The 15,371-nt window shown below is 37.8% G+C and overlaps 1 protein-coding gene across 9 annotated transcripts in view; it reads right to left on the bottom strand.

The window, feature by feature from the left end:
• The window catches only part of ENTREP1 (endosomal transmembrane epsin interactor 1), a 67,890-nt gene that overhangs the window by 13,333 nt on the left and 39,186 nt on the right, over window positions 1-15,371 (bottom strand). For all 9 annotated transcript variants that reach the window (NR_170669.1, NM_001127608.3, NM_001347995.2 and 6 more), the window contains 4 exons: window positions 7,515-7,625; window positions 3,260-3,388; window positions 1,647-1,754; window positions 1,380-1,513 (listed from right to left, as the gene is read on the bottom strand). Coding sequence is in view for 8 of the 9 variants with exons in the window: in NM_001127608.3 (NP_001121080.1) it covers window positions 1,380-1,513; window positions 1,647-1,754; window positions 3,260-3,388; window positions 7,515-7,625 (482 nt within the window). In the remaining variant the exon portion in view is untranslated. The remainder of the gene's footprint in view (window positions 1-1,379; window positions 1,514-1,646; window positions 1,755-3,259; window positions 3,389-7,514; window positions 7,626-15,371) is intronic.

Genomic DNA, 15,371 nt, shown 5'->3' with positions numbered 1-15,371 from the left:
ATTTCTGGCCCTCTGAATATGAAGCTAAAGACACTAGTATTTCTGTGGAATTAAGAGATTCTCTTTCAAAAAGTTCAACAGATGTTTGCTTATCCTTTAAACTCAGCTTAAGTTCACTTCATCCAGGAAGCCATCTCTGACTGCCTTGCCACTCTGGGTTAGGTGTACCTTCTCTGTGCACCCAAAGTCCCTCTTTTGAATATTACCGTGATCCTTCCAACACACATTTTAATGACCTAGACTGTGAGCTCCTTAATGGTAGAGGAGGAAGCAGGTCTAGCTCATTTTGAATTCCAATAACCCAGCACAGAGGATTCCACGTTTGTTGAATGAATAAACGAATGAAGTCATTCTTTTTTTTTTTTTTGAGACAAAGTCTCGCTCTCACCCAGGCTGGAGTGCAGTGGTGCGATCTCAGCTCACTGCAAGCTCCACCTCCCAGGTTCATGCCATTCTCCTGCCTCAGCCTCCCAAGTAGCTGGGACTACAGGTGCCCACTACCATGCCCGGCTAATTTTTTTGTATTTTTAGTAGAGACGGGGGTTAGCCAGGATGGTCTTGATCTCCTGACCTCATGATCTGCCCGCCTCAGCCTCCCAAAGTGCTGGGATTACAGGTGTGAGCCACCACGCCGCGCCTAAATGAAGTCATTCTTTAAAAAAAGGTTTGATTCTAGAAGTTGCTAACAATCAGACAGATGTATGCGGCATTTCACTGTACCAATAAAAATCCTTGATATTTAAGAAGGTCAAAATTTTAAGTTTGAAATTTGAAAAGGAAAATAAGTATGGTATCTATTTTTTCTAGACCAGGGAGAGACAATTAATAATTAATCTCTTTTTAATGGCTAGGAAGAATTTCTTGATTGTTGAGACCTGCTGATGGTATTACAATGAAACATCGATTTGGCCTAACTGGGAGTGTTTCCAAGGCAACAGCGACTCTCAATCATGTCAAATTACAGCTGTTATCTCCCTGGGTGTCAGTTTCCCTTAGAAAGCTAATTGAAATTGAAAATGTCTATCTTCAGGCCAAAGTTTAACTTTTCTTTGGATTCATCTGTTTTATCAGACAAAAAGAGAAAGTAAGACAGAAAACAGAGAGAGAGAGACAGAGAGAATAGAAACCCCTGAAAAACAGCATAATTGTTTTTCATTTTTCTAAAGAAGGCTGGCAGAGGTGGACTCTCTAAAAGCCATACCACAGGGTTCACTAGCTGATTTTGTCACTCATTGGGCTAACGTTCCTCAAGTCAGGAAAAATTTTTCTTTTTCTTTTTCAAAGAAAAGTGAGATCTCATGTGGTGAGTTCTGGAGACACTTCAGTCTTCAGAACCCACAGCATCCCACTCAGACTGCAGGGGAACTCAGGAACGATACCTGCGGTTCATCCGGGGTGTGCACGAGTAAAACGTGGCAAAATAGGAAGGGGGAGGCACAGGCGGCACAAAATCATCAGGGTCGGGGATGCGTCCATGATCCTCCGCTTCTTCAGCAGAAATCTGGGATTCATCCTGATTAAACAGCAGCTCAGTTAGTCAACAGCCTTCATTACAAAGGCACGGGGAGAGAGGCAGTGGATGACACGAAGGGGTCCATGGGCTGGCTCAGCGGAAACGTGGCCATGATGCCCTTGCATAGACTTACGATGCAGGATCTCCTGGTTGCGAATATCTGGAGGTAGCGGAGGGCAGCGGCCACCAAGCAGACGGTGGTGGTCAGGGCATTCAAGGCACACAGGGCAAAGAGGACTTTCTGGGGCAAGGAAACAATGGCACCACTAAGTACTTCAACAAACATCACCAGAATACAATGTAGAAAATCTTTAAAATAATAATAACGCTGCCTCCATAAGACAATTCTCAGGAGAGGATGCATGTAAAGGACTTAGATGGTGTTTGGCTCGTGGAAAGTGCCCAAATAAATGCTGGCTATTATTATGACCCTCATGCAATAATGTGTACTTCTTAATTCCAAAAACTTATCTTAGAAGCTTTCTGTCACAGAACAACGTGGTATGATAGTATTTCTTTTTGCAAGCATCAGAATACTGTCGAGAAACATTCCTTCCAGGAGAGCAGTGAGCTTCTCTTCTGAGGCTGATTTCCCCAGGGATAGCAATTCCCAGCCTCCTCCCTCCCACAGCCTCCCACCAGCACAGCACACTGCTTAATTTGTGGCCACTAATTCTATTTCAAGAGCAATTGGCTGTGCTGCCCCATGCACACGACGAGGACACTGAAGGAGCTGGCCCAGCCAGAGTGTAAATAGGACTTCTCTCCACTAAACACACATCTCAAAATAGCAAAGGCCATTCCAAACGCTTCTGTTGGTACAGTCCTGGCTCCTTGAGTGGGGCTTTCCCCAAGCTAAGTCCTGGCTCAGAAAGTTTGGGGGTGACTCAGCTACCAAAAATGCAGAAGCCATGGAAAGCAGGCCATTTCCACATCCCACACAACCCAGAGCTGGTAGCTTGGAACAGTTCTCTCTTTCCTTGGAGATTCTTCCTCCCCACCAAAATGAAACCCAAAACAAATATCTAAAGAAAACCGGCAGAAGTGGACTCTCAAAAAGCCATACCTCAGGGTTCACCAGTTGATTTTGTCACTCACTGAGCTAATGTTCCTTAAGTCAGGGCACAATTTTTATCCAATTCCCTGATGAAGGCTAATTTTGTATTTCTCTTCAACTGGGATCATCTGTTTGTTTAATACCTTTGGCTTATTATAGTTGTTGCTTATTAAACAAGAGCTAAGGTGCTTCAATTCCCCCATATTTTCTGGCCAATCTCTCTCCTTAGTCTACGTGTTGCAGACTGGTAGTACTCAGTGGCCCATATGACCCATGTAAGCAAACAAATGAGCATCAGAACAATGACACACGAGTGTGCGACTTAAAGGTTTTGCTAAAAGCTACACCGTATATGTGTGTGTAGGTATACATATGTACGTATGCATATGTTTATATGTGGAAATATGTGTGTATGTGTATACATATACATATATATAGTCAGGCTCCTTTCCATTTTTTACTATCTTACAGTTCTTCAACACAAAGAAAGCTGTCCATACATAATTTAACACACACAATAATCTGTGGTTCTTTCTGCATTCAATTCTGTCTCTGGGGTCACTCACATGCGCTTTCAGCAGCTTAATTGTTTGAGGGAGGTAATAGAACAGGAATATTTCAAGTAAGTTTGCCTTCTTTGGGGGCTCCGTGGTGTATTTACCGTGCGGGTGGGAATCTGTTTGAGGTACCTTAAGTAGAAGGTGAACAGCACTACAGGGCTGAACCGGAAAGAGTTTCAAGGCATTTTCTTTGTCTGTGCACTTGGCTGGTTGAAATTCTTCACAACAGAAGCAAATCTTGCCTTCACCTAAGTCCACCTTAACGGAGGAAAGGTAAAAAAAAATACTTTAATTATTAAGAAAAAATACCCTGGCTCTACCATGGAGCACCAATCCTGTAGAATGAGATGATGGCAGGGTTCTGTGTCAGGCAATGCCTCTATCAGTCAGGATGGGCTAGGGTATAGCATGGTAACAACCAAAACCTAAATTTCAGTGGCTTTCACAAAACAAAGGGAATTTTAATATTCCTCCTTTCTCCTTTAAAGTCTCCAGCTGAGAACTTCCTGTTTTCATACTAATCCTGTTTAGTACTAACAAACAAGCAGCTAAATGAGATGAAGTATCAGCCTCCATTCTGCTCGTGTACATGAGTCCCACTCTTCCCCAAAAGGAACCAAACTCACTTTTTTTTCCCCAACACAATGCACTCTGATTTTCATTTTTTGCACTTGGTGCAAGCCTCAAGATCTTAACCTGAAAGCTCTATCTCTCTCAGACAATACTAGGCATCATCTTACAAAATATTCCCTTCCCAAACAAGTCCATTCTTGATACAAAGCGTTTAGTTAAGTGGGAAACCAGGCCTATGTGGGCTGCACACACCATATAACATAGATGTCCAGCTCTTCAGAAACTTCAGCTACCTGGCACCTCTGGAGTGAGCCAGTCTGGATGGCAAAATTTTCCAGATGGGTGAAATTCAGTCCCTTTAAACAACCCTATTTGAAAGTTTACTCATTATACAAATGATCACGAATACCAATTAATTTTCCCACTGGATACAAAGAAACCTCAGGCACTGTGCAAAATGATTCCAGGCAACTGTGCACTGTGCGTTCCTTCTCCCCTATTCCTGATCCTTGCAGAATCTAATACCTTCACCTCCATTCTTAATCCCATCTCTGCCCAATATTTCTAAAAACTTATTCTCACTTCTCATCAGTCACTTTAGCCTATCCACAAACAAATTTGTAGAAGTCTCCCTGATCCTAAATAATGAACATCCACCCTGCATTCTTGGTGCTACTGCCTGAAGAGGTCAGATCTTTGTCTTCCCCCTGTCACCTTTCAATAGCAGCATTCTTAATCCTGCCTGTACATTTGAATTTTCTGGAGAGCTTTTTAAAAAATGATGATGCCATCTTAAGCACTCAGGGAACTACAAATTAGAGTGACAGCAAGCTCTCACTCTGGCTTCATCAGACTGGCACAACTTTAAAAAGAGAGAAACTCTCTTTGCTGGTGGAGACGTGGAGAGCCACTGGTAGAAATTCACCAGTCACTGGTGAGTTTAAGCCCTTTAATGAAGGAACTGACTATCCATTTTAAATTAAAAATACTCACTTCCCCAACCACTTTGGAAAACTCTTTAGCACCGCATCATCCAGCAGCTCCGTGCCTAGGTATTCACTCAAGAGAAATGAAAACTGCCTCCCCAAAACAATAATGCTCACAGCAGCTTTGTTCATAATACCCCCAAACTGGAAACAACCTAACTGTCCATCAACAAGAGAACAAAAAAACAAAAAAATTCTGGTATTTTTATAAAATGAAATAGTGTCCTGAAAAAAGGAACAAACAACAGATACAATATAAAAATATGGATGAATTTCAACAACATTACACTGGGCAAAATAAGTCAGACACAAAAACTTTCAAACCGTGTGACTCCATCTACATGAAGTTCAAGGACATGCAAAACTAACCCATGGTGAAAGAAACAGGAACAGTGGTTGCCTATGAGAGAGTAGAGACTGCCTGAAAAGAGACACTAAAGAACTTTTTAGGGTGACAGAAATATTGTTTGGAGTACAACAAACAATATTTTGTTTGGAGTATAGAAATTGTTTGGAGTATAACATGAGTGTATACATTTGTCAAAATGAATGTATACATTGGTCAAAACTTATAATGAACTGCACACTTAAGATTTGTGTTTTTCACTGTAACTTCTACCCCAATTTAAAAGCGATGGATAGAACAATAAAATGGTTGAATTTGTAATAATAAATGAGATAAGCAGGAGAAAAGATACTGCTGAGAACAATTCCTTGTCCTGGGAACCTACTCCGCTTAGGACTAAAATCTCCCTGAGGATATACAGAATGATATTAATGGCAGCACTGTGTCTACTGGTCAAAACCCAAGCCACAACAGGCAATAACAAAATAAGGAACTAACTTGGTAAAAGAAATTAAGGGTGTTAGTCTGTATTTAATCTATCTCTAAGTGATACATCTTTAAGTGATAAAAACAGGATGCAGGGAAGTACATACAATATACCTCATTTAAAAAAAAATCATGAACGACCCCACTCCATACATATTTATGTAAGATTACATGACCATGAAAACATTATGAAATATAATTCCCCAGCCTGTTACTAAGGATTTGGGGTGACAGGTATGGGCAGAGTGGGAAAGAGAAGAGAAGAGCAACCCCTTGCCCAAAAAGGTTTCATTTGTCAGTAATTTCCCCAAAGGAAAACAACACTTACAACATGATCCTGTTGATTATGTCTGTTTTTGTGCATAAAGAGATGCTTAACACATGGCCAAATTGTTATCCAGGGATAGTGGGAATTCAAATGATATTTAAGTTCTGCCTTATACTTTTCATGGCTTGCCCAAACTTTTATAATTATAACATCAGAAATAATCACAGTGTTGGTTTTGTGGTATATATATTCTGATATACAGAATATATAAAGAACTTCTATAACTCAATAACAAAAAAAAAAATAACTCAATTTTAAAATGTGCAAAAGACTTGTATAGACATTCTTCCTTTAATGAAGACATACAAATAGCCAGCAGGCATATGAAGAGACTATCAACATCACTAATCATAAGGAAAATGCAAATCAAAACCAAATGAGGTATCACCTTATACCCATTAGAATGGCCACTTTAAAAAAAAAAAGCAGAAAATAACAAGTGTCAGTGAAGATGTGCAGAAATTGGAACCCGTGTGCACTGTTGATGGAAATATTAAATGGTGCAGTTGCTATGAAAAACCATACAAAGTTTCCTCAAAAAATTTAAAATAGAATTACCAAATGATCACTTCTGGTTATATATCCAAAAGAATTAAAACCAGGATCTCAGAGACATGTTTGCAGGCCCATGTTCGTTGCAATGTTATTCACAATAACCAAGAGTGGGGGCCAACCTAAATATCCATCACAGATAAATGGAGAAACAAAAGGTATCATGTATATACAATGGAATATTATATAGTCTTAAAAAGGAAGGGAATTCTAACACATGCTACAACATGATGAACCTTGAGGAGATGATGCTAAGTGAAATAATCCAGTCACAAAAAGACAAACAGCATATTATCCTACTTGTATGAGGTACCTAGGATACTCAAATTCATAGAAACGGAATGTGAAATGGTGATTGCCAGGGGCTGGAGGATGGGGAGCTGTTGCTGTTCAATATGCATAGACTTTCAGTTTTACAATATGAAAAGAGTTCTAGAGATTGGTTGTCAACAATGTGAATATACTTACCTCTACTGAACTGTAGACTTAAAAATGGTTAAGATGGTAAATTTCATGCTATGTGTATTTTACCACAATAAAATTTATTTTCTTTTAAGTTCAGAGATGGTACAAGTCCACAACCTCTTACTCACAATGCTGAAATCCAAAAAGCTCTGAAAACCAGAAGTCATGATAACAGCCTGCTGTCCCAGACTCCACTGGCATGCTACATAATAAATAGTATATGCAAAATATTTAATCTTCTAAAACTGGAAAAACTCTAAATGCTGACACACACCTGGCCTCCAAAGGTTTCAGATAAAAGACTGTTGACCTGTATTCTGGCAATATCCATTTTATTTCTTTTTAGATGAGGACAGTCAGAGACTGATTGATTGTGGACATCTGATCCATCCATTCACTAACTAATGATGCATTATATCACTATGGTTCCAGTGTTTTGCTGGCTGGTCCCTGCTTTGGAAAAAGTAATCGACAACTTGGGTGAAATAATCAGCAGGCAGCTCTTTGTTTTGTTTTCCCACTTCCCTTTACCCATTTCAGGTTTCACTTCAGGACAGTTGCCTGATGCTGAATGTTGCAAGTCTCGCCAGGAACACCTGACAAGCCAGGGTCTGCCTAGATGCACAGTGATGTTTTAGGACTGCTTACCAGATCACACCTGGGCACGCTGGACACAAACTGGGCCCCTTGGCAGCCTAGGATAAATCCAGCTAGATTTAAGAGGACACAAACCACAGAGAGCAGCACAAAGAGGTTTACCTGAAATGGCAAGAGAATGGACAGTTAGTAAAAGATAACAGCTAAATTCAGACAGAGTTTTACCTGATTTTAAAAACTCATATTCCCTTCCAAGAGAACATTTTTTTAAAAAAAGATCAGAACCGTGTTTTCAATGTACAAACTTTTTTTCACATTTTAGACTTCTTAAAATTGTGCTGAGGGATGCCACTGACTCTTAAGTCTTCTCAATAACCTCAAGTCCTTATTTTTCTCTCTTTGAAAATAATTCTTACTCCCTTATCTTCCACCCACACATTACACTAAGCCCTAGCTATTTCCTCCTTGAGCCACTCTTATTTTTTTTCCTTTAGTTTTGTGGGATCAGCAGCAAATAAACAAATACAGAACTCTGGAATATAAGTGAAACACAGGGACATGAAGGAGCTCAGAGCCTTTACTATCCAGAAATCACAGTATGTAAATGGACATAAAAATGGGTCTTTTTTTCAGTTCTGAACACTTTAGGTACTAAAGAATATGCACACAAAGATTTTCCATGTGCTTTTCTCTAAAGTTAATTATTACAAATATTACTCCAAATAATTAAAAAATTGATAGTAGTCAACTGAGAAGCCAGTATTTACTTAGTACAAGTTAGAGATTATGCAGGCTTTTCAACTTGAGAGCCATGATTATTAAGAAAATCAAAATCTTATTGCAAATATAAAAGCAAATATAAAAGATTAGAGGCAATAATTATCAGCGTTAGAACAAAGCATCAATTCAAGTAGCTGATATGTCAGAGTTGGCTGGTAAACAAGTTCACATATGAACTCTAAGGGAGAAACCCTGTTCTTTAACTATTGTTATTCCAAGTCAAGCTTGAAAGCATTTCCCGAGACCCATTTTATGAGTCAATGTTTAATATCACATGATGCCACTTTACCTAGGGGGAATTCCTTCTTCTCTCCAAGAGAAGTTTGGCTTCTTTCCTTTTATTGTTAATTTGGATGCAGCCTGTCATCAGATCTTGGGGAAAATACTAATGGAAGCTGCTGTTGTTACTGTTTCCCAGGCTGGATTCCCCAGTGTCTATTGGACTTGACTTGGGCAGCATATAGAATATGTCCCCTCTTGCACTGTATCATTTATGATTATGCCACAGCTTCTTGGAAAAGGAGAATACATAATTGGCAAAGGACAGGACTTGATCTTCCCACATGGGCTTCTATTACACACTAGCAGTTGCTACTCAAAGAGATCTAATATATCTGTAATCCTTAAACCCAATAACACAATCACTGTTACTATGGAAAAGTCTCGAGTTTTCCCTTGGAAATTTTCTTTTACGATAATATACAATGCCTTGAAAAAAAAGTGTGGTTATAATGCCCATCAGTACGCCAATAAAAATTAACATTATCAACTATAAAATGGGTGAGGGCCCATTACTCCTAACACTGAACCCAAAATCTCTTCACTAAAATCTTAAAGCCAGCCCACTGAAGGACACAGTTAGGAAAATCAATAGTAGGCAAGCTACAGACTGGTAGAAAATATTTTCACTCATATATTGAACAAACAACAACTTGTGTCCAGAATATACAAGTAACTCCTCAAATCAATAATAAAGAGACAAGCAGCCCAATTAAAAATTGGGGCAAAAGACTTAAATAGACATTTCATACAGACACATAAAAAATATAAGAATAGCCAATAAGCACATGTAAAGGTCTTCAAATAATTAGTTGTCACAAGTGCAAAGTAAAAACCACAATGAGATACCACTTCACACCAACTAGAATGGTTAAAATGTAAAAGACTGACAAAACCAAGTGCTGGTGAGGATGAGGAACACTTGGACTCTCAGACACTGCTTGTGCAAGTATAAGGTGGCACAACCACTTTAGAAAACTGTGTGTCATATGATAAAAAAAAAAAAAGCTCATCATCTCTGGTCATTAGAGAAATGCAAATCAAAAACACAATGAGATACCATCTCATGCCAGTTAGAATGGCAATCATTAAAAAGTCAGGAAACAACAAATGCTGGAGAGGATGTAGAGAAATAGGAACACTTTTACACTGTTGGTGGGAGTGTAAATTAGTTTAATCATTGTGGAAGACAGTGTGGTGATTCCTCAAGGATCTAGAACCAGAAATTCCATTTGACCCAGCAATCCCATTACTGGGTATATACCCAAAGGATTATAAATCATTCTACTATAAAGACACACACACACACGTATGTTTATTGCAGCACTATTCACAATACCAAAGACTTGGAACCAACCCAAATGCCTATCAATGACAGACTGGATAAAGAAAATGTGGCACATATACACGATGGAATACTATGCAGCCACAAAAAAGAATGAGTTCATGTCCTTTGCAGGGACATGGATAAAGCTGGAAACCATCATTCTCAGCAAACTAACACAGGAATAGAAAACCAAACACCGCATGTTCTCACTCATAAGTGGGAGGTGAACAATGAGAACACATGGACACAGGGAGGAAAACTTCACACACCAGGGCCTGCCGAGGGTGGGGTCCTGGGGAGGGATAGCATTAGGAGAAATACTAATGTAGTTGAGAGTTGATGGGTGCAGCAAACCATCATGGCATGTGTATACCTATGTAACGAACCTGCACGTTCTGCACATGTATCCCAGAACTTAAAGTATAATTTAAAAAAAAAGAAAATTGTTTGTCAGTTTCTTAAAAATTAAATATAAATCTCCCATGCAGAAGAATTGCAAATAATTTATGAAGCCACTGCCAAATTCTACCAAACTTATAAAGAAGAACTAATACCAGTTCTCCTCAAGCTATTCCAAAAAATTGAAGGAGAGGGAATTCTCCCTAACACATTTACAAAGCTAGCATTATCCTAATACCAACACCAAACAAGGACACAACAAAAAAAGAAAATATCCAATCTCCCTGATGAACATAGACACAAAAATCCTCAATAAAATGCTAGCAAACTGAATCTAACAGCACATCAAAAAGATATACATCACGATCAAGTGGAATTTGTCCCATTCATGCAAGGATAGATCAACATGCCCAAATCAATAAATGTGATACATCACATTATGAGAATGAAGGACAAAAAGCACATGATCATCAAATTTAACATCCCTTCAACAGACTAGGCATAGAAGAAACATACCTCAACATAATAAGGACCATAAATGAAAAACCCACAGCTAACTCCACACTGAATGAGGAAAAGCTGAAAGCCTTTCCTCTAAGAACTGGAACAAGACAAGGATGCCCACTTTTACTACTTCTATTCAACACAGTACTAGAAGTCCTATCCAGAGCAATCGGGAAAGAGAAAGAAATAAAAGGCATCCAAATTAGTGAAGAGGAAGTCAAATTGTTCCTCTTTGCAGATGACATAATCTTACTGCTAGAAAAATCTAAAGACTCCCCCAAAAGACTCTTAAATCTGATAAATAAATTCAGTAGTCTCAGGATACAAAATCAACGTTTAGAAAATCAGTAGCATTTATATACACCAACAACAAATGAATTGAGAAAGAAATCAAGAAGGCAATCCCATTTACAATAGCTACAAATATACATATATGTACGTGTATATATATGTGTGTGTGTATATGTATATATGTATATATATATGTGTATATATATATTTATATATATGTGTGTATATATTTATATATATATGTGTATATATATATTTATATATATGTGTGTATATATATTTATATATATGTGTGTATATATATTTATATATATGTGTATATATATATTTATATATGTGTATATATATATTTTTATATATATGTGTATATATATATTTATATATATGTGTATATATATATTTATATATGTGTGTATATATATATTTATATATATGTGTGTATATATATATTTATATATATGTGTGTATATATATATATATAAAACACCCAGGAATAAATTTAACCAAGGAGGTAAAAGACCTCTAGAAAGAAAACTAAAAACACTGATGAAAGATATGAAAGAAGACAAAAATAAATAATAATACATCCCATGTTCATGGATTGGAAAAATTAATATTATCAAAATGAGCATATTCCCCAGAGCAATCTAAAGATTCACTGCAATCCCTATCAAAATATCAATGACATTTTTCACAGAAATAGAAAAAAAATCCTAAAATTCATATGAAACCAAAAAAATGCCCAAAGAGCCAAAGCAATCCTGAGAAAAGCTGGAGGCATCACATTACCTGACTTCAAAGGTTATAGTAACCAAAACAGCATGGTACTGCTATAAAAACAAATATATAGACTAGGTGTGATGGCTCACACCTGTAATCCCAGCACCTTAGGATGCCCAGGTGGGAGGACCACTCAAGCCCAGGACTTCAAGATAGTCTTGGCAACATAGTGAGACCTTGTCTCTACAAAAAAAAAAAAAAAAAAAAAATTGTTTAATTAGCCAGGTGTAGTGGGGTGCACCTGTATTCCCAGCTACTTGGGAGGCTGAAGTGGGAGTATTGCTTGAGCCTGGGAAATCAAGGCTATAGTGAGCTATGTTCATGCCACTGCACTTCAGCGTGGGTGACAGGCCAACAACCTGTCTCAAAATAAATAAATTAAGTTGAATTAAAATTTTAAAAATGTAGACTAATGGAACAGAATAGAGAACCCAGAAATAAATCCAAATATTTATAGCCAACTGAGTTTTAACAGAGGCACCAAGAACATACATTGGAGAAAAGACACTCTCTTCAATAAATGATGCTGGGAAAACTAAATAACCATATTCAGAAGAAAAAACTAGACCCCCTATTTCTCAACATATACAAAAATCAACTCAAAATGGATTAAAGACTTAAACATAAAACCTGAAACTAGGAAACTGCTAGAAGAAAACATAGAGAAAATACTCTAGAACACTGGTCTAGGCAAAGATTTTATTGCTAAGATCTCAAAAGCACAGGCAACAAAAACAAAATAGACAAATGAGACTATATTAAACTAAAAAGCTCCTGTGAAGCCAAGGAAACAATCAACGGAGTGAAGAGACAACCTGTAGAATGAGAGAAAACACAAACTATTCATCTGACAAGGGACTAATAACCGGAATATACAAGAAACTCAAACAACTCAATGGCAAAAAAAAAAAAAAACCCCAGTTGGAATTACCAACTGTACCAATGGGCAAAGATTGTGGATAGACATTTCTCAAAAGAAGATATACAAATGGTTAACAGGGTTGTGAAAAAGCGCACAACATCACTAATCATCAGGGAAATACAAATCAAAACCACAATGAGATAACATCTTATAGTTAGAATGGCTATTATCAAAAAGACAAAAAGTAACACCTGTTGGTGAGGATGTGCAGAGAAAGGAACTGTTATACATTGCTGGTGGGCATGTCAATTAGTAGAGCCATTATGAAACACAGTATGGAGATTCCTCAAAAAATAAAAATGGAGTTACCATGTGATCCAGTAATCCCACTACTGGATATTTATGGAAAAGAAAAGAAATCAGTATATCAAAGGGATTCCTGCACCGTTATGTTTATTGCAGTACTATTCACAATAGCTAAGTTATGGAAGCAACCTAAATGCCCATCAACAGACGAATGAATAAATAATATATGGTATATATACACATTGAAATGTTTAATTGGCCATAAAAAAGAATGAAATCCTGTTATTTTGCAGCAACCTGAGTGGAACTGGAGGCCCTTATGTTAAGGGAAATAAGCCAGGCACAGAAAGATAAATATTACATGTTCTCATTCACATGTGGGAGCTTAAACAGTTAATCTCATCGAGAGAGAGTAGAATTATAGTAACCAGAGGCTGAGATGGGTGCATGTGGGGTGTGGGGGATAGGATCAAGGAAGAGAGGTTGGTTAATGGATACAAACACAATTAGATAGAAGGAATAAGTTCTAATGTTTGAAAGCAGAGTAGGGTGACTATAGTTAACAAAAATATATTGCATATTTTGAAATAGCTAGAAGTCTTGAAATGTCCCCAATACATAGAAATGATAAACACTCAAGGTGAGGGATATCCTAAATACCCTGATTTGATCATTATATGATCATTATTTTGTTGCTATCCATGTAACAAAATTGCACGTTTAACCCATATGTCCATATATTATGTATCAATTTTTTAAAACTGCATTGAGTGAAATTAGCCAGATACTGTATGATTTCACTTACTTAAAGTTTAGGAATAGACAAAGTAATCTATACTGATAGAAATTAGAAGAGTGATTGCCTATTTGTGAGGAGGGCAGGGAAGGAGGAGATTGACTGGAAACACACGGAAGAATGTTCTGGGGTGATAATGTTCTACCTTTTGTTTTGGGTGGTAGTTACATGCATTATTCAAATTGTCAAAATTTAGCTAACTGAACACTTGCAATCTGGAACAGGACTGTATATAAAACATACTTACCTTATTTTTAAAAAGAAAATCCTAAATCCAGCAGTCAAGGCAGGATTCTGAGATCATACAATGAATGTGGCTACTTCTAAAATGTCTGACTGACAGACAAGCTGAGAGAATGCTCCAGGGAGTCACTGCCTGGTAGGCTTCATTTCCCTCCTATACTGGAGGGGCTGCCAAGTACAAGTCAAAGTCAAATCATTAGAATGCCACTCCTGCAAAACCCAGAAGGAAGGCCTGGGGTTTCATTTGTACACATAGACTGTATACAAAATCGCCATTCACTGTTCTTCAACTTTATTCCGGCATATGACTTTACTATTATGTTATTAAAACTCTGGTCAAACTTAGCCAAATGGTCACCTGAATTACTCTAGCACAGACAACTGTGGCATATATGAGACACAGCTCTTTCAGAAGTTGGATCATCTTCCAGGATACAAAATATTGGAGTCATAAAGAACTCAGGGTTTACAGGGACCTTCAGAATGGATGCCTCTAGCTTTTACCTGGTTATAATGGGATCACTTCCAAGACCCAAATTTGTATCTCAAGCTTCATCAGATGGCATCCTCCTTAAACTGACGACAAGAAAATATCAGCTGCCAAAGCACATTATAGTCACAAAGACGACTCAGCAACATCTGGGAAGGGGAAGAATTTCTTATATTTCTTATAAGAAATTACTCTTGCCTTAAAAAAAAAAAAATCATTGCAGGGGATCGGAGTTTCTCTTGAAACTCAAATCTGAATTTGAAATCTAGAGACATGGCTCAAATTCAGGCTTTCCCACTTGTTTGCTGTGATATCTTAGGCCAATTCTGTGAGACTTTTCTCATCCATTAAGTGGGTCTATCTTCCCAGCTACCTCACAAAATTATTAAGAGAGTCACCTAAAATTATTTATATGGAAGTCCTTTATATACTGGAAAATACAATGTACACAGTGTTATTATTACTGGGTATTTCCTCTTTGCAGGAGCAGCTTGTTATTGTAAAGTGAATTTCACAAAACACATTTCATTAGGTTTGGTACCAGAATTTCATTCTTTTGCTTGTGACATCTGAATTTATGGCAGCTGGAAGGGACATTCAAATTTTAAGATAAATCTGCAGTTACATTATTTCCAAAACGTGTCCAAAAAGAATGATGTCTGCAGCCTCCTTTAGGGAACTCACTCTACACTGGACCACTGACATCTGTGTGTGGGGCATCTCCTGTTTGCCCTGCCACAGCCTCTCTCCACACTTACCCTTCCTTTACTCTACCCATGGGCAAGGCTGTTGTATGTAGACTGGCTCAGTGGGGCTACTCTGCCCTCTGGTCTCCAGTGAAGCTCAACCAA

The sequence above is a fragment of the Homo sapiens genome, chromosome 9 (genome assembly GCF_000001405.40).
Source record: "Homo sapiens chromosome 9, GRCh38.p14 Primary Assembly".
Lineage (NCBI taxonomy): Eukaryota > Metazoa > Chordata > Mammalia > Primates > Hominidae > Homo > Homo sapiens.
This window is presented reverse-complemented; position numbering and strand designations above follow the sequence as displayed.